The 17,903-nt window shown below is 42.5% G+C and overlaps 1 protein-coding gene across 4 annotated transcripts in view, besides 1 other annotated feature; it reads left to right on the top strand.

Annotated features, from left to right (window-relative positions):
• The window catches only part of DSCAM (DS cell adhesion molecule), an 836,160-nt gene that overhangs the window by 776,053 nt on the left and 42,204 nt on the right, over positions 1-17,903 (top strand). For all 4 annotated transcript variants that reach the window (NR_073202.3, NM_001271534.3, NM_001389.5 and 1 more), the window contains 2 exons: positions 8,207-8,237; positions 15,266-15,381. Coding sequence is in view for 3 of the 4 variants with exons in the window: in NM_001271534.3 (NP_001258463.1) it covers positions 8,207-8,237; positions 15,266-15,381 (147 nt within the window). In the remaining variant the exon portion in view is untranslated. The remainder of the gene's footprint in view (positions 1-8,206; positions 8,238-15,265; positions 15,382-17,903) is intronic.
• Positions 6,465-6,632: a silencer, noted in NCBI's record as "fragment chr21:41436401-41436568 (GRCh37/hg19 assembly coordinates)". NCBI's record gives its function as "represses an EF-1alpha promoter that drives an FKBP-Casp9 reporter gene in an ReSE screen in HepG2 liver carcinoma cells {active_cell/tissue: HepG2}" and the evidence as "EXISTENCE:reporter gene assay evidence [ECO:0000049][PMID:32094911]".

The raw sequence follows: 17,903 nt of genomic DNA, 5'->3' as shown, positions 1-17,903 counted from the left end.
CCAATATTTCTAAAAGCCTCCTCCTTTGGTACGCATTTACGCAAGAAGGCACAAGCTTCTGTTGGCACCAGTTAGTGTGGGTCAACCTGCAGGACTTCAAATAAGCTAAAGATAAAAATCAGTGAGTGATGTCACATTTGACCATGCTTTTGTGGCAGAGTGTCTTGCTTCTCTTGAATGGAAATGTGTTTATTATTTTAAACATGCTTTGAAATGGATTGTTACAAAACTGATCAATTCCGGAAGAGACTGTTCCCAGAGAGGATCTGGGTTCATGGTGCTATGCAGGCAGATTAAGGGGTAGGTTATGAGAAATCATTGTTATTTTCTGAGTACTAACAGGACATTTATCTGCTCTGCAAATGAGCCCAAAGCTCCCCTCATTTGGAAAACCAAAAGGTAACTTGAACTTTACTAACCTAAAGCAGGAATGTGCATCCAGGAACCCAGTGACACTCAGACTTGAGATAGACTCAAAGTTTCAATAGATGCCCCAGCACTAATGCATAAAGCCACCCTGAATGTGGGAAGCCCACATTGTTAATGCATGAGTAGCACACATGCACCCTAGAGCTTTCGTTACCAAGTGTGGCTAAGATGGCATTAGAAGCCTGTACTCTGAAACTCTTTAGTTCTGTGCTTTGTGTTTTCTTTCTTTCTTTCTCTTTGTCTTTCTTTCTCTTTCTTTTTCTTTTCTTTTCTTTTCTTTTCCTTCCTTCCTTGCTTTTCTCTCCTTCCCTCCCTCCTTCCCTCCCTCCCTCCTTCCCTACCTTCCTTCTTTCCTTCTATCCTTCCTTCCTTCTCTCTCCTTCCCTCCCTCCCTCCCTCCTTCACTCCCTCCCTCCCTCCCTCCTTCCCTACCTTCCTTCCTTCCTTTCCCCTTCTCTCTCCTTTTTTCTCTCTCTCCCTCTCTCTTTCTCTTCCTCTCTCTTTCTTTCTGTCTTGGTTTCTTAATGAAATTATTCTCTTAAAACATCAAACTTGTTATGGCAAACTGAATAGAAAAGGCTCTCTGCATCTGACAGCGGGAAGCAAAAGAGCATGGGGGTGAGGGGGAGTCGAGGGCTACCAGTGGAGGGGAGCCAGGGAGTGGGTAGTCAGGAGGGGATTGTGGGTCTCAGCCGGGCCCTGGAGCTCTGCCTTGCCTGGGTGTCCTATTTTGTCTGTGTCTGTGCATGCAGTTTTTTCAGATTACCAGTATATATGGCCTTCTTTTTTTAATATATGTCTGCCACAGTTTTCAAATTAGCTTTCATCTGAGCATTGTGATGATTGGAAGTCCTATTTGGGATCTTATAAAAACATAAATGCAGGTTTATAGCCCTTGCAAAAATAGCTACTTTATGAGACTATTTCAATTCCACAGAAAGGCAGGGACTGTTGAGGGAGAGGCTGCAAATAAAACCTTTTGATGGATGGTAATATAAGGTCAAAATCTGCCACCCTCAGAAAGTTTTTTTGTGGATATCTGCAAGTGACTGCCCAGTAGAAGTATTAACCTAAGCGTCTTCCATTTTACGTAACTAGAACTTCAGATATGAAAATGTAGCCATGTGGCTATAAACAAGATTTCTCTTTTTTAAAGAAGCATTTGAGTGTGCAAAATGTGAGGCAGTTCAGCCTCTCAAGCTTTGCACAGCTGCAGTGCCTGGGGCCATGGTGGGCACTCTCCCACGCCATGCTGTGTCATGCTCTGCCTTGCTGATGTGCACCTTCATGCCAGGCACAACCCCAGGATGCAAGCTGTGGTCTATAAACAGAACACAGGAACTGGGCAAGACCAAGCTGGGAGCCTCCTCATCCAACCAGAGGTGCCATTTCCCAAAACTCGATCTAACCATGTACTAATCCACAGGCTACTAATGCTTCCCATTGTTTCGCTCCTCTTTCTTCTCCATAGTACTTCACTATACACCATCCTGCCTTAGTCTCTCAATAGCCATGCAAAATGGTTGAGTATGAACTGCCCATTATGATGCCCCAATTTTCTTTCTTTTCTTTTTCTTTTTTTTTTTTTTCTGAGACAGAGTTTTGCTCTTTTTGCCCAGGCTGGAGTGCAATGGTATGATCTCAGCTCACCACAACCTCCACCTCCTGGGTTCAAGCGACTCTCCTGCCTCAGCCTCCCAAGTAGCTGGGATTGTGGGCATGCACCACCATGCCCGGCTAATTTTGTATTTTTAGTAGAGACGGGGTTTCTCCAAGTTGGTCAGGCTGGTCTCGAACTCACAACCTCAGGTGATCCGCCTGCCTCAGCCTCCCAAAGTGCTGGGATTATAGGCATGAGCCACTGCGTCCAGCCATCATACCCCATTTTCTGACGTGAAAACTGAAGGCCAGCTATAGAATTATCCAGAATCACATATGAGTCCAGGCAGAGCTAGAAGAGAGTTCAGATCAATCTCCCTACCCTACTCCTCTTGCCATGAAACTTCTGCAGGATTTTGAATATTCAAGTAAGAAACAGGTTGTCTCATCAATATTAAGTAAGCTCTAAAGGTTTATCAATTATACCTGGAATTAGAAGATGTATTAACACAGTATCAATAGCTACTATATAATTTTATGTTTGCCCATCAAAAATACTTGGTCTATTGATTTTGTATTTCGATATTCACTACCCTTCAGCCTTCCCCTAATTATATTTTAAATATGTATATATTATATACAGAGAGAGGCACATATACATATTCCTTCTAGCTTGCATATCTTCATCCTACTGTCTCTCTGATTCTTTTCTCCACTGAATACTTGAGAGTATTCTGTCCTCAGCTACACTACCTCTCAATTACTCCCAAATTCCCACAGTCCCCTTCCACTCGCCACCCAAATGTAACTGTTCTCCTGAAGACAGATGACCAGTTATTCTCTGATCTCCAAATTATCCTTTCAGCCATCATTTTTTAGCCCTCTTTGCAGCATTCAGAGTGTTAGCAAATGTTGTCTTTTGAAATTCCTTCCTTCCACATTTTAATATCACTAGATTATCCTGGTATCATTTCTCCATCATTTCCCAGCCCAACAGATAAGGGAGGAGCCCAGAGCCAAGGATGGAAGTGTGGGAGTAGCAAGCGGCTTTAGAAAAGATGTCGCGAAGTCTGAATCTCAGGCTGATCTGAAATGTGTGGGAAAAAATGTGACAGGCAATGCAAGGGCTGTTTAGCTGTGTTTGGGCAAGAAGAACAAGGCTGTGAACAATGTTCTCATATTAACAGATGGCAGGTAGACAGGAGAGCTGCTCAGCATCTGCTTTGCTTGATGTGTACCAGGAGAAATGCTATTTGAATCAGAAAACGTGGACCAGGAATTATAAAAAGAAGGAAGGAAGGAAGGGAGGGAGGGAGGGAGGGAGGGAGGGAGGGAATGAGGGGAGGGAGGGAATGAGGGGAGGGGAGGGGAGGGGAAGGGAGAAACTCAGGATGCTTATGAAAATAATCAGCACCCTGATAGTTTAAAAGGATTTATTTTTTTTCAAAACATACTCTGTATTAGCCATTATGTGGAGGTGGAGATGTTGCTTTTTGCAGACAATGTTTACAAAGAACTATTACACAAGTTCCAAAGCGTAAGCAGCCTAATGCAGACAGAATAAATGCTGTGCTGTTTCACTGAAAGGAAAGATCTCCACCACTTAAAAAATTAGGGAAGCTGTCATGGGGTTCCAGTCCCATGATTCTGAAGGATAACATTTTAGGGTTCTGAACAAAATTTTTCCAGACATAACCCCAAGATCTTTCTGGATAACCTTTGAACAATCAAATGTAAATTAGAGGTGTTAGAAAATGATTATGCAGATGGTCCCTGACTTACTATGGTTCAACTTAGGAGTTTTTGACTTTGCAATGGTGCAAAAATGATATGCATTCAGTAGAAACTGTATTTTGAATTTTGATCTTTGTCTGGGTTAGTGATATGTGATCCATTATTTTTACATGAGATACTCAACACCTTATTATAAAATAAGCTCTGTGTTAGATAGTTTTGCCCAACTGTAGGGTAGGGTAAATGTTCTGAGCACGTTGAAGATAGGCTAGGCTAAGCCCTGATGTTTGGTAGGTCAGGCATATTAAATGCATTTTTGACTTAATTATATTTTCAATTGATGATGGGTTCATCAGGAGGTAATCGTAAGTCAAAGAGCATCTAGACCCTGGACCCATTTTCAACAACAATAGATTAATTCTGGACATTATAGACTGAAATAAGTTAGTTGAGGTTATAGAAAGGATGTTTTGTGAGCAATCAGGGAAGGGAAGGGACCACCAGGGGCCCAGACAAACTCCATTTGCATTTTGACAGGGCTGATTAATAAGGGTACACCAGGATGTAGCTGAAAGCATGGGCAGGCTAATCCAATCTTGGAGGCCACATACATCCTGGTGGGGAAGCTAATGTATTAGAGGGACAAATCCACATTTTAAGAGATTTTGAAAGGCTGGAAGCAAGAAGATACAGTTTAATAGGAATAATTGTGAAGTCTTCTATAGAAGTTGTAAAAAAAAATTCATTTGCAACACGTATAATGAGCATTGTGCTCTCCCTAGTGTGCTAGAAGATCAAGAATTACCAGCGTCTTTCTCAGCCTCATTTTATAGAGAAATAAAAAAATCACAAACCTTTCAAAGAAGAGATTCCCAAGTAGGGAATTACCTAGAAATCATTCCGTATGAGGAGTGGCTGAGAAAATTAGAGAATGTAACCCAGAAAAGAGAAAGCTGAGGCCAAGCAAGGGAAATGCAGCTACATGGAAATATCTGAACAGCTGGCAAATGACTTCAGGTTAAAATTACATCAAGGAATTTCTGCACAAGAAAAGGAAGATGTCTCTCACAATTAAATGTGTCCTCAGGAAATCTTTGTGCAGCTTCACTATGGATCAGGGACAGGACTGTGCCCAAAAGGGCCAAGAGAAAGACAACCCGAAAACAGGTGGGCACAGTATGAGCTGGGAAGGGCTGTCTGAGATATAAGGCAGAGGTCCAGGGAAGCGGAGGGAACCGAAGCTTCACCCCTGCCTACTGGGCATGGGAGGGTACACGGAGCAAGTTGCGTCTGCATGGGGCGGTGGGGACGATGGAGGGCTTTGCACTAGCAAAGTCTTGGGCTCTCTGCAGAAAGTGGCAAGTGCAGGAAACTCAGAGAGAGGTTGGAGGTTACAAGTGAGCGGCAGCGGAGCCGGATGACAGCTTGGACCAGCACGGAAGGTGGGTTCTCTGTGCTAATGAGGGCTGTTGCAGTGAGGTCCCTTTGAAGGTTTCAAAGCACAGGTATCACTCAGTAAGATGGATTCCAGTCTTCACCCTTCCTGCAGTGTGGGTATCAGTGTTGGGCACACCAGCAGTAAGGATGCTGACTAATAAGTGAGATTAGGACTGAGAAGAGAAAAAACAAAGGTTCCCCTGGGGACATGCTGGCTGGGAGAGACCTGCAGACCTGGAAGGCAGGAGAGTACTGGGAGGAGAGGAAGGACACTAGGTGTGCAGCAGGAGCACCGACCCCAACCGTGGAGTGGCAGTGGCCCCAGCTCTGGATTCATGCAGACAGAGAATATGTGTACGTCTGTGTAAGACATTGTGAAAGGGATTCCAACATTCATTAGGTGGCCAATCTGAAAAGTCTTTATTGCTCTTAAGATTCTGTGATTCCGGGACTTTAAATTTTTTTCTTGGCTTGTCTCAGACTCTCTTCTCACCCTCAACAAAAGTGTGTCCCAGATGAGATTTTGCCATCTTCTTTTTGCACTCTCTCTATGGGGATATGAAAAACACCCAGACCCTCATCTCAGCCCTGGCATCTTTCCAAATTTGATTCCAAATTTGCCTCTGAACAGCCTCACCTAATGTCCCCCGATATTGAAACTAGACAAGTCTCTCCCAAGATTGCTGCTTCCATGTTGTTCTAGTCCATTCCTGTCACTCATGTTACTACATCCAGCTCTGCATATCCCAAATCTTGCCCTTTTCCTGGACTCCCTGCAACTCCTCCTTGTCCCACTGTACACCTGGTAGGACTCTGATTCGTACAGATTTCCTCTATCTTCACATTATAATGTTACCCACATAACCCTGGCTCTCTTCTCTAATGCCCAGAGCCTCTCACTTGGACTAAGGACTAAGAAGCTTTCAACAAGTCCCAGGCCCCCACCTCCACATTCAGAGCATTCTGGATTGCCTGGTGGATGCTAGTTCACAGCACCCACACCCATCCACCACCCACCTCTGCCCTCCTTTTTCCTCTCTCCCTTTGGCCCAGGTAGAAGCTTTCAGGTCAGTAATACAAAGTCACATCTCCTTAGCTCTTTAATGTCTAGACTGTGCACCAGACCACCATCCTGGCAACTTCTCTGTCCAGTCAAATTGACCTAGACTTTACTTCTCAAATGGGCTCATAATTCCGATGCATGTGAATTCTCTGCATGGAGCACACTGCCCATTCATGGCAAAGCTCCCCACGTCCCATGCTCCTTTAAGGTGGGGTCAGTGTTAGGTTTAGGGAAGGGTTGACCCAAACGGTCAACCCTTGGCATCTAGACCTGTGAAAGACCTTAGCCTTGGGGAGGATGCCTGCACGTGGCAGCCAAGAGAGGTCTGCTGTCGGCATGGCAGTCATTGTGGGGAGCTCTTTTCTCCCTGCTGGACTCCGCAATTCCTTAGTACATTGCCATGAACAGCTCATAGGAGAGAGCTGTGATGACTGACCGAGAATAGGAAAAGGAGAGATTATTGTGGCGGGCAGAATGAGGAAAGCAGTTGATCAGAAGACAATTGAGGCTGAGAACTCTTTCAAGTGTGAACTGAAGTGGGATGTTTACTCCTTGAATTTGTTTCCCCCTTTTTAGAGTATTGTACCAGCCACTGCTTGGTAGTTCATTGGAGCTAATTAAGTCCAGGCTTCTGGCATTATATGTATGTGTATATATATGTGTGTGTGTGTATGTATATATATATACATACATGAAGTATATATAAGCACATATATATATATATATACTTTGTAAGTGTTAAATCATTCAGGGAAAGAGGAAATTCATTATATTTACTGTGTCTTTGCAGATAAATATAAAGACATGAACTGGGAAATCCAATCCTATTTTGATTTCTTTTCTTTGCTGTGTGGGTGGAGTATATGGGCCCTGTTTCATTGCCCAGGCTGAACCCATCTGTGCACAAAACCAGGCCCCATCTTGGGGTTACCATTGGGACTGGCCAACTTAACGAACTAAGCTTGGCTCATGGCAAGGACAGCCTCTACGTGGTCATTCTGTGACTGTCCACGTCTTTCAGAAATAGCATGCTGCCCACTGTGCAGAAACTGACTACGTTTAATTGTCAGCCCCCAAAGGCATGAGATGGAAATGCTCCCACATACGTATACTTTCACTGCAGAGCTGGTCACACTGTCAGCTGAGTCCATTTCCGGAAAGTTCTGTTCATTGAACAGTATACTTAGCATCAAGACTTTTTAGAGAGCAATGAAATAAAAACAAAAAGAAGGTTTTTGTGCTCTAAGTAAGGAAACATTCATTTTTGCCAGGACCAAATGTGTAAAAAGAATAAATTATATTTTAAAGGAAACGGGAATTTCAAAATAACACCACCAAAAAAAGGGATTTTTTTTTTCCTACACTTTTAGTCAGGATTCCTTCTGTCAAGAGTGGTAACCCGGTCTTGGTAAACAATGTGCTCAGAGAAAAAAAAAATAAAGTTTTTTTAATTTCTGAATTCAAAATAAACATCTAAGTTTCCAGGAACATTTATATTTCATTTATACGATTCTTTGGTCAACCCAAGGAACTCAGAGCTCTGTAATAATGCCACTTACTTCTGATATTTTGATAACAAAAAGCATGGGTTTGTTCAACGTAAATGATATACCCTCAAAATGTTAATTTTCTGACTACTGAAAATAAAATTGGATTTCCTAGAAGTGACTGTAGGTTGGAATAAAACATTTAGTAGATGTCTGAGAATGTTATAATCATAGGATAGTTATGTTGATATTTTTGTAATTAATAAAATACATTTTAAAAGTCCCATTTAGAAGAAATAAGGACTCCATGAAACTCTAGGTCATTAGTAGTGAGCTGGGTATATGATTGTGTTTCAAAATGACTGTTCTGATCTGACTGTAGAGTATTTGTCATAAATGCCTAAGTGAATGTTAATGAGTTATTTACCATGTACTAATGTTAACTTTCTTTCCCCAGATGCAAAGAGTTTAGCTGAAATGCTCATGAGGTAAGAACAAGACCTAGCACCCCAGATATCATGTTTGAAAGAACAATTTCCAACTTGCCTTGATGATTTCTATTTTTTTAATAATGGCAGTCTGAAATTGATAATGTCTTTTCTTTTTAGAAAAAACTGTAATTTCCTATACATTCCAAAATATCCATGTAATGCCTAGCTGAAGGTGTAGATGAAAATGATGTATTTGTAGACATGCCACAGGTAGTTGTCTTGTTGGCTGGACACAACCAATAGAAGGCTTCCCATTAGCCTGGGAACAGAAGCACGTAAAGAGGAAGTAGCTTTAGTTTTGCCTTCATCTAAATTTACTACTGGTGAGGTCAAGCCTTCTTTCTAACAGAATAATCCAAGTTAAAAGAAAAGCACAAAAGGAATGTGCTATGCCCCATGCTCTTCAAAGGCTCTGTGTCTCCATCAGCACCCTCCACCAGGGCACCCTTCAGCTCCTCTTACCACTGTCTGTTCACTGTCTATTCTGGTCCTGGAAGTCACAGCCTTCATAGTTCATCCTCGTGTTAGGAGTAGCCAGCACAGTAGTTGCCCCATTCATAACCGTGGAGGGGATGAATGAAGAGTGGTTATTGAATGAGTACGAGAATGTTCACAACTGTGGAAGACAGAAATGCATCCTTCACAGCTTTCCTTTCACACGTCCACAGGCTTGTGATTGGCAAAGCTGTGACAAGTGTGTTACTTTCACGTCCCCAAACTCTATTTTCCACCCAGTCCCCCTCTTCAAATGTTCAGTTTTCTTGTGCTGTCCAACCTTTTTACTCTGTAAATACTAGAACACTCTGATATGAAGCATTTACACGTATGGATTAATTGCCTGATGTGTTACCTCACCCTGATATTTGCATTTTAGGCCTTTCATATTGCAATGATTACATGAAAAGTGAAAAAGGAAAATCAGAGTCTAGGAAATAAGTAGGGAAAATGTCAAGGACTCCGATAGTGAACTCAACATTGCCAGTTTAGGATGATTTACGTGGGAGAGAGAGGGTGGATCTAGGACCTCTTCCCACTCCCATCACCAACACATTTGCCTGTGACTTCCTCCTCCATCTATACATATAAAATTAGTACTCTTTGTTATTTAAAAACTTCCCATGTTCCATATCACTAATATCTTTGAAGACCGAAGGCAGTAGTAGAATGCCATTGGCACACAGATTCCATCCTACAGACATTTTGTTTGGCCATACCGTATTTCAAAACAATGTGAATCGTAGGTAAAACAATGATATGAAGGATAAGTCTTTTCCTTTTTCTTTTTTTTTTTTTTTTGGGACAGAGTTTTGCTCTTGTCGCCCAGGCTGGAGTGCAATGGTGCGGTCTTGGCTCACTGCAACCTCCGCCTCAGAGGTTCAAGCGATTTTCCTGCCTCAGCCTCCCGAGGAGCCACGATTACAGGCGCCCGCCACCATGCCTGGCTGATTTTTGTATTTTTAGTAGAGACAGAGTTTCACCATGTTGGCCAGGCTGGTCTCGAACTCCTGACCTGAGGCAATTCTCCCGCCTCAGCCTCCCAAAATGCTGGGATTACAGGCATGAGCCACCACGGAAGGATAACTCTAAAATACATTTGTTGTGACTGATCTGATGAATGTTGGTGCCATCTGCCAAGATTAGGAAGATAGAGGCAGGCTATGGACTTTTGATTTTTTTGGAAGGTAGGTTGGGAGGAGGTATTGATGGGAATGAAAAGACCTATTTGGGTCATGTTGAATTTGGGATTATTTTTAAGGCATCCAGAGGAAATGTCAGATAGACAACTGGTAGCAGAAATCTGGAGCTCAGAGGAAAAGCAAAGATGCAAATTCCCTGTACAGTATCTCCTTCATAAGGGGTACTTCATCACATTTCCAGGAGAAGATTACAGAAATTGCATGAGATGCCTTCAGCCCGTGCTTTTTGTTTATGTGACATTTATGGGTCACAGGGAACACATCCAAACACACATGCACTTGTGTTAAGCAGATCTGATAAAACAAAGATCTGCTTAACACAAAGAAGCTGGAAAACAAAGAAGTCAGAGTCACATGACTTGTAATAACTGATCTACCTAATAAAAGAAATTGTCAAAGGTAGACTTTAAAAATATGAATTAGTTGATGACATTTAAAATGAGGAGATTTCACATAAAATTTGGCTTTCTGATTTCTCTTGAAAATGCCCTGGCCATACTAGCACCGCGGAGGTGATAATGGTGCCTGGAGGTAGGCACAGTAGCCCTTTAGAATGGCGTGAGTTTGCTCACCACCGCAGCCCCCACCCCTACCCCACCCCGGGCCTGCTTCACCAGTCCGTACACTGAGCAGGGCTCCTTCAGCCCTCCAGAGAGCTTCTCCTCCCCTCAACTGTGCTCTGCACAACCTACCCTGGCCCCCTCCCCTATCTACTCCCAAACTGTAAATCATGCCTTTGTCCAGAGGCTGTGAAACTGCGGGCTATATTTTCTGACATGTTCAACATTTGCTCAATTAGGATGATTTGCTTTTTCTCTTCTCCTCATATTCTAGAGTACATTCCTACTCCTTCTCCCTAGCCTCTGAGAAAGACATTAGCAAGCATCCTCTATGAATAGGGCAGTTGCTGTGGTTGCAAGACCATCTGTTGATAAGAGGAGGAATTAATTATGGTCTTCCTATTGCCAGTTACCAGCATGAATTAGGAAGAGTAAAGCCAGTAATCACAACCACTTATGATAGTTACAGTGGTTTTCCTTCAAATGGTCAAAGTGATTGAAAAGGAAGAGAATTTTCAAGCTCCTCCAATAGGTGGATTTGTATGGGATTAATTTAGAAGTAAAAGCAAAGCTTTTACCCATGAAAGGTTGGTTCAATCTAAGTTCGGCAGGTGAATGGGCCAAGCAAACAAAAACCTCATTACCTAACTGGTCAATTTAGAATCAACCATATTTGGACATGGCCCAGGGGGTCCAGACAAATCATGTCCACTGGCAGAGAGAAAGATACTGAACAGCTACCCCTGGTCTGTGTTGCTGTTTTCTCTAGAAGTCAAAGGAACTGGCAGCCTGGTACAGTGAGAATACGAACCACAAGTCTGTGCTCTAGGCCCCATGTGGCCATAAGCTGGTTTTCAGATCTTAGTAGGTCATTTTACCGCTTTGTTTTCCTTACCTAAAAAATAAAAATAAAATAAAAAATTCAACATTGTTTCTAGCTTTATCACTCCACATTCTGTGTTCTAAATGGATGTAACATTTATTTTTCAACCATTTTCTACCAAGAAGTATCTGCGTATTTCAGGGAGATTAGCTGAGGGCCAGGCCAGGAAGGCAGATTGGACAGCAGAACATACCCACTCAGTCTAGGTCCCCAGGGATTCCTGGCCTGGCAGCATCACCCATTGCTGGGCTTCATGCTCCTAGATATCCACCTGTTTCACCCATGCACATCACCCCAGAGAAGAGAGACTGCATCCCTCACACCCAGACAGAAAGATTGTCCTTTTATATTTTTATGTAAGATTTTTATTTTTAAAAAACAGCCTTCTAAGAGGTGTTTGCTCCAAAGAGATAACTGTATACTGTAGAGAGCTAACATATAATGTTTAAGGTCCAGGAATCAGCATTAGCGAGTGAGTTGGGTGTAAGCAGAAAAAGGTTCAAATTAGTTCAGCTTTTTTGATGTTCATATTTTTGTGCACATAATAAAAAATCTCTACCCTAGTGTTATAATGAGCTATGCTCCTAATAGTCCAATAGTCATTGTACATTTAAGGAATGTTCTGTGTCATATTTGGGAGGATGATGGACTATTAAGACTTTGAAGAGTGGCAGTGGCTGCAAATAATTGATTGGCTAAGCTGGGAAATTCTCTGCCCTATGAAACCGTCTCTGCTCTCCTCTTCTTCTCATTTTATTCAAACAACCAGATGGCAAATAAATGGATGGTTGAAGATTATAGCTCAATAATAACTAATATGTTTAGCATGATCCTATGCCATGCAAAAAAGATGCAATTTTTGCTTCCACAGTGAAAACATTTGGACTGTTTTTCCAGGTTGCAAATGAGGTTTGTTCAAATCACTTTTTTAAGGTTTGCTGCCATTCTAATGACCAATTGTTATCATTTTTGAGGTTAACAGAACACAGAGTGATAAATATAAATGTAACAATAGATTGTCAAAAGTGACAGCAAATATTAAGTAATGAAATAACTTAGTTGGAATCCAGTGACCTTTTAGAATGAGAAGGATATTATTGCCTCAAAACAAAGTCTTGGGGACATCTCACTCAGCTCACGTTGTGCCCTCAAAATAAATCAATGTGAGGATTTACTTCACAGATATTTATTGAGCACCTACTTTGGCCATATACTGTTCTAAGTTCTAGGGAGACACAGGAAACAGAGCAGGTGAAGAAAACCCTGGTGGAGCATATTTTCCAGTGAGAGAGGCAGATAATGGATAAGATAAATCAACTAAGTATATGCTAGAGAGTAATAAGTGCCAAGCAGACAAAATTAAACAGAGAATGGGGACAGGACACAGAAGACGTCCCCATCGCAGGGCCAGCCTGGCTCCACTGGAAAGATGATGGCATCTGAGTCCAGCCTTGCAACAAGGGAGCCAGTATGTGGGTTTTGGGGGTAGCAGGGGAAGTGTGTTCTAAACAACGGGAACAGCCAAGTGCAAAGAGAAAGAAGAACTGTGAGTCCGGCCAGGCGCAGTGGCTCACACCTGTAATCCCAGCACTTTGGGAGGCTGAGGCGGGTGGATCACGAGGTCAGGAGATTGAGACCATTCTGGCTAACAGGGCGAAACCCGGTCTCTACTAAAAATACAAAAAAGCCAGACATGGTGGTGGGCACCTGTAGTCCCAGCTACTCGGGAGGCTGAGGAAGGAGAATGGTGTGAACCTGGGAGGCGGAGCTTGCAGTGAGCTGAGATCGCGCCACTGCACTCCAGCCTGGGCAACAGAGCAAGAGTCCATCTCAAAAAAAAAAAAAAAAAAAAGACTGCAGTGAACTGTGATTGCATCACTGCACTCCAGCCTGGGCGACAGAGCAAGACCCTGTCTCTAAAAACAATTAGCTTCTGAATCTCAAGGCTTGTTGGGCCGTTTTCTTATAGTCTTCTGAGGAGGAAGAATTTACCTCCAGCCTTGGTTGTCCTGGTTCGCAGAGTTGAATCAAGTTCTAAATCTTGGTGCCAGCCAGTCGCAGTGGTTCACAGCCATTATTTAGCCTGCTTCCTGTGGCAATCTGGTAGCAGACCCCTTATTGTTGTTTAAGTATAGCCTGCACTTGGTGTTCATCGCTATTTAATAGAGCAGCCGCTGACTGCCTCATAACTATTCATGAAGAGCAGAAGGAACTAGCTCACACTTCTATTTTTGGTGCAAGGACAAGCTCAAGTCCCTAGTGAGGTTTCTAAACAGATCTTTGGGATATTCACAGAGGAGTAGTTCCCCATATGTTTTTGTGGAAATATAGCTTGTCTAAGCATGCCGTAAATGCAGCCCCCCAAGTAACCAAAATGCTCCTCCTTTTATTTGATTATTTGAATTTTTTCATTACTCTCTTTTTAACAAAATCAACGAATGACAAGTTAGTTAAGTCAGTAATTTGAAAGAGCTTGGAGACCATGTGAAAAGTCAGGACAAAACGTTTGAATTTGGGCTCTGCATAATTAGCATGATGTAGGTACATAGCCCAGTTCCTTATCTGCAGAGCAAGCAATCTGGTTCAAGATCAAGTCCTAAGTAGGAATGTTGCACCTTTCAGAAGTTGTCTTTTTCATGGGATAATTTGCTTTTACTCAAACGAGGAGTATACATGGATCTCATCAGGCAAACATCTAAGGGGGTACTTGAGTGACCTTCACTTTGGGATAATTAAAGTTCTGTCCACCACTTGGTTTAAGAGTGGATGAGTCCTCATTAACAAGGAAGGATCGGTGGAGGCACAGCCCTGGGACTCGGGGTAAATGGCTCGGTTAGAGGGGAAAGCATTTAAAATGTAGCATTGAGTATTCCTATTTTGGTCTCCACTAAAAGTAACACAGAGGTAAACCATTATTGAGTTAACTAGGCTCCAGAAATCTTTCTCAAAACCAGTGTTAACAACAATTGAGCTGGATTGATGGATGCCATAGATTATGCCATTGATTGGATTATCCAAGTGACTGCTGCTTCTTAGAGGATGCTTCAGTAAATACTATTTGAACATCTAGTAAAGTCTTATTATTCTGTAAAGACTGAACAACCACCCTTCTAATGTGGATTGCTAATTAAAGTCTTTATTGACTTTTTTAGATTTTTGTGCAACGTGGAGTTTTTTTTTTAACTGCAGGCTATAACTGAATCCGATTCTACCATGCAGTTTTACTACTTATTTTCATTTACTTTTAGAGAACAGCTCACTCTAAGAGTAATCTTCTGATACACAAATTTTGAGATTAAATTATGATAGTAATTGCTTTTTTTCCATTCTAAAATGTACTATCAGTTAGGAAAACTAACGTCAGGGAAGCTAACAAGGTTTGTGATTTGCTTCTAGAACAAAAATAAAATGACACCAGATATAAATACAAATCCATTAGTAAAACTCCCATCCGACAAACAGCTGGTGCACGTGCTTTTTCCCTCACCATCTTTGGAATATCTGGTGCTTTATTCCTCACCATCACTGGAATATCTCACATCTGACAAATGAAAATGCTGTTGGTTTTTAATTGCTTTTCATTTGTTTCATTTAGCATTTACACAAGAAATGAGAACTTTCTAAAGATTCTATTGGTAGATATAGAGCCAATCTCTATTGACAATTTGTATTTTCTGAAACTCTCCAGCCAGCTGAAATTTAATATTAATAAATAAATAACATTTGAATGAAGGAAACGTTTTCATAGTATGTACGTTTTCTGTTCCCCTCCTCACAAGGTATTTGTATATTTAGACAATAAACTAAGTTGGTATACAGGTGCATGTTGGTAGAATGTTAACACTGAACTGGATTTGTTAATGCATTACCCCATTTTATTCCCAGTAAGAATACCCGGACTTCAGATACGTTAAGCAAGCAACAGCAGACCCTGCGAATGCACATCGACATACCCAGGGCTCAGCTTTTGATTGAAGAGAGAGACACGATGGAGACCATTGGTAAGCTGCCCTATTTGCCACTTTACACAAAGTGGCTGCCACAGCCATGCCTTCTCAATCCAAACCCCAGGATGTGGGAAATATTAGACAGGAGAGCGTCTTGAAGGCTACGTGAGTACCAAAGCTAGAAGGTAGAGAATTGTTCTTGTGAAGAAGAATCAGTACCAGCAAATGTGCAGAAAATTTGACTTATATATACCACCATATATGCCAATATGCCAGTCAGTTCCAGGCATTTGGGACAGAAATCCCTCAGCTCTGATCCATTTGGGATCTTTCCAGGGGAGGCTACGGATGCCACTCCAAGGAATAAACATCTGTAATCGACTACACATCAATCCAGAAGGCCTGCACTCTAAAGCCCCAGGTTGAAAATCCACTCCGTGCCCCCCTCATCAACTCTGATAATGCAAGCCTTCATTAAATAAAACTTTTAAACTGTACTTAACACTTAAACAAACACATGTCTTTGTACAGGGTATCTTCCCCCACACCAGTGCCCCAGAAACATCCTGCAGCTGTTTCCCCAGCAGCACTTTGGGAAAAACACCAGGGCCCTAGTTTTAGGGTTTCAGAACAGCCACCCTGAGGTTTTCTGGCTTGTTCAACCAGAACCCAGGTATCTTCACTCTTCCCAGCCTCTTTCCACCTGAAGTCCATTACCCCACACTGCCTGCCTCGATTATTCTATTTATTCCGGAGTGAAATACCTTATATTTCCTTTCCAGTAATAATGAGAAGAATAGCTAACATGTATTGAGAATTCTGTAAATGTCACATAGTTTTTATAAGCACTTCGTGTGCATTACTTAATTTAACCTTTCAACCAACATATGAAAGAAGTCTTGCTTTTGTAACCAAGATGTAGAGAGGTCTGTGTAGCTTTCCAAGGTCACAGAGACAGGCGCAGAACCAGGTTCCCCACCTGGCCACACTCACCGCCATGCTGTCTGTCTCCAATGACAGCTAGCACAGCAGCAGGCCACCTGCTTCCACACCAACAGGCTGCTTCCAAGAAACCCTCAACCAGAAGTTATCCAAGCTTTTGAGTGCCCATGGAAACACCCTGAGGCAGGCTCCGAGGCTGCCTCTTTTCAAACCTGGCTATGTTTGTTTTGGAAGGTGTTTGCTGGCATGAGTCCCAGGACAACCCTTTCTTGTGGTCTGGATAAACTGCCTGACTCTCAGCACATAGCCCAGCTGCCTCCTGCCGGGAAGGCAGTGGTAAGAGACCAGGTGGGCAGAACACCTGCTCCATCAACCATCACCCTTCTGCTGCCCCACCCACCACTGGAGACATCTTGACCTAATGGCTCCTAAATTCTAAGGCCTGGGTTCTCCTGGCTGAAGTCACATTTGGTCCAGGCATAGCAGCACTTAAAGATTGGTCAAGTGCAAAGTGGCTCTTGATCAGCTAACTTCAGTGAAACACTTCAGTTAAACCATGTATGTGAGGTGGCACTACCTGCCCTAAAGTACACAAGATTTTATTAGCTTGCTTGTATCAGGACAAGGGATAAGCTACTATGTTTTGCTTTTGATTATCTTTTTTTGGGAAAGGGGAAGGTATACCTGGAATCTCTTTTGTTTCACCCAGTAGATTGGGCATTAAAACTGAAAATTTCCTTTGAAAAAATTTCAAAAATTAGAATGTAATTCCTTTGACCATATAATTTTATAAGCCATTTATATGCATTATTTAATTTAACCCTTCCAGCCAACATAGGAAAAGTTTCTTTTGTAACTGAGACACAGAGAGGTTACATAGTTTGTGGAGGTCACCATGGTTATATAACACGTTACAATATTTGCTAAATGCGTCTCACTAGACAATAATCCTACATATGGCTATGAAAATAGATAGCTAGGCAGATGCCATGAGTGGTCTATGGCCTTCCAAGAGCTGGTCACTGGGGGGCTTAACACCAGAGGAAGCCTGCCAGTCATTTCCATTTGTAAATATGACCGTTCGCCAGAGATCCATCCCAGTCCATGCAGGATCATGTATCAGCAAGAGCCCTTGACCTCCTTGTGATGCCTGACAATGGGTCGATGGCATTTTCTAATTACTGGGAAGTGGAACTGTGGTGCTTCAAAATGCTCTGGGCTCTGACCACAAGAATCCAATATTACAGTGACATTAATTTCCAGCTAGAATGAATGGTTAACCTCATGATCAGACAGGCGCCCAAAATTTTCCATGAAAAGTGTGTAACCTAGCCCCGCAGATCATCTGGTGTGATCTAAAAGGGCCTGCCTGCTAGAAACTGTGACATATCCCATCATTAATGAAAAACAAATGTAGACACGGAGCCTCTCGTGCTGGGTCCAGTTGTAGGAAGCTGTCTCTGTGGAAGAGCCACCCTCTTTGAGGAGTCGAGTGACCGCCACGGGGCCGGACCTCCAAGCCAAGCCCAGGCGCCTGCTGTGGTGCCAACCTCACCGCACCATGCGCTGGGATACTCACAGACATCTTGGCAGCCTTTCCTCTATTTCTCTGCCAGGAAATTTTATTCTAACTT

The sequence above is a fragment of the Homo sapiens genome, chromosome 21, assembly GCF_000001405.40.
Source record: "Homo sapiens chromosome 21, GRCh38.p14 Primary Assembly".
Taxonomy (NCBI): domain Eukaryota; kingdom Metazoa; phylum Chordata; class Mammalia; order Primates; family Hominidae; genus Homo; species Homo sapiens.
The sequence above is the reverse complement of the archived record's forward strand: the minus strand, read 5'-3'. Positions and strand labels throughout refer to the sequence as shown.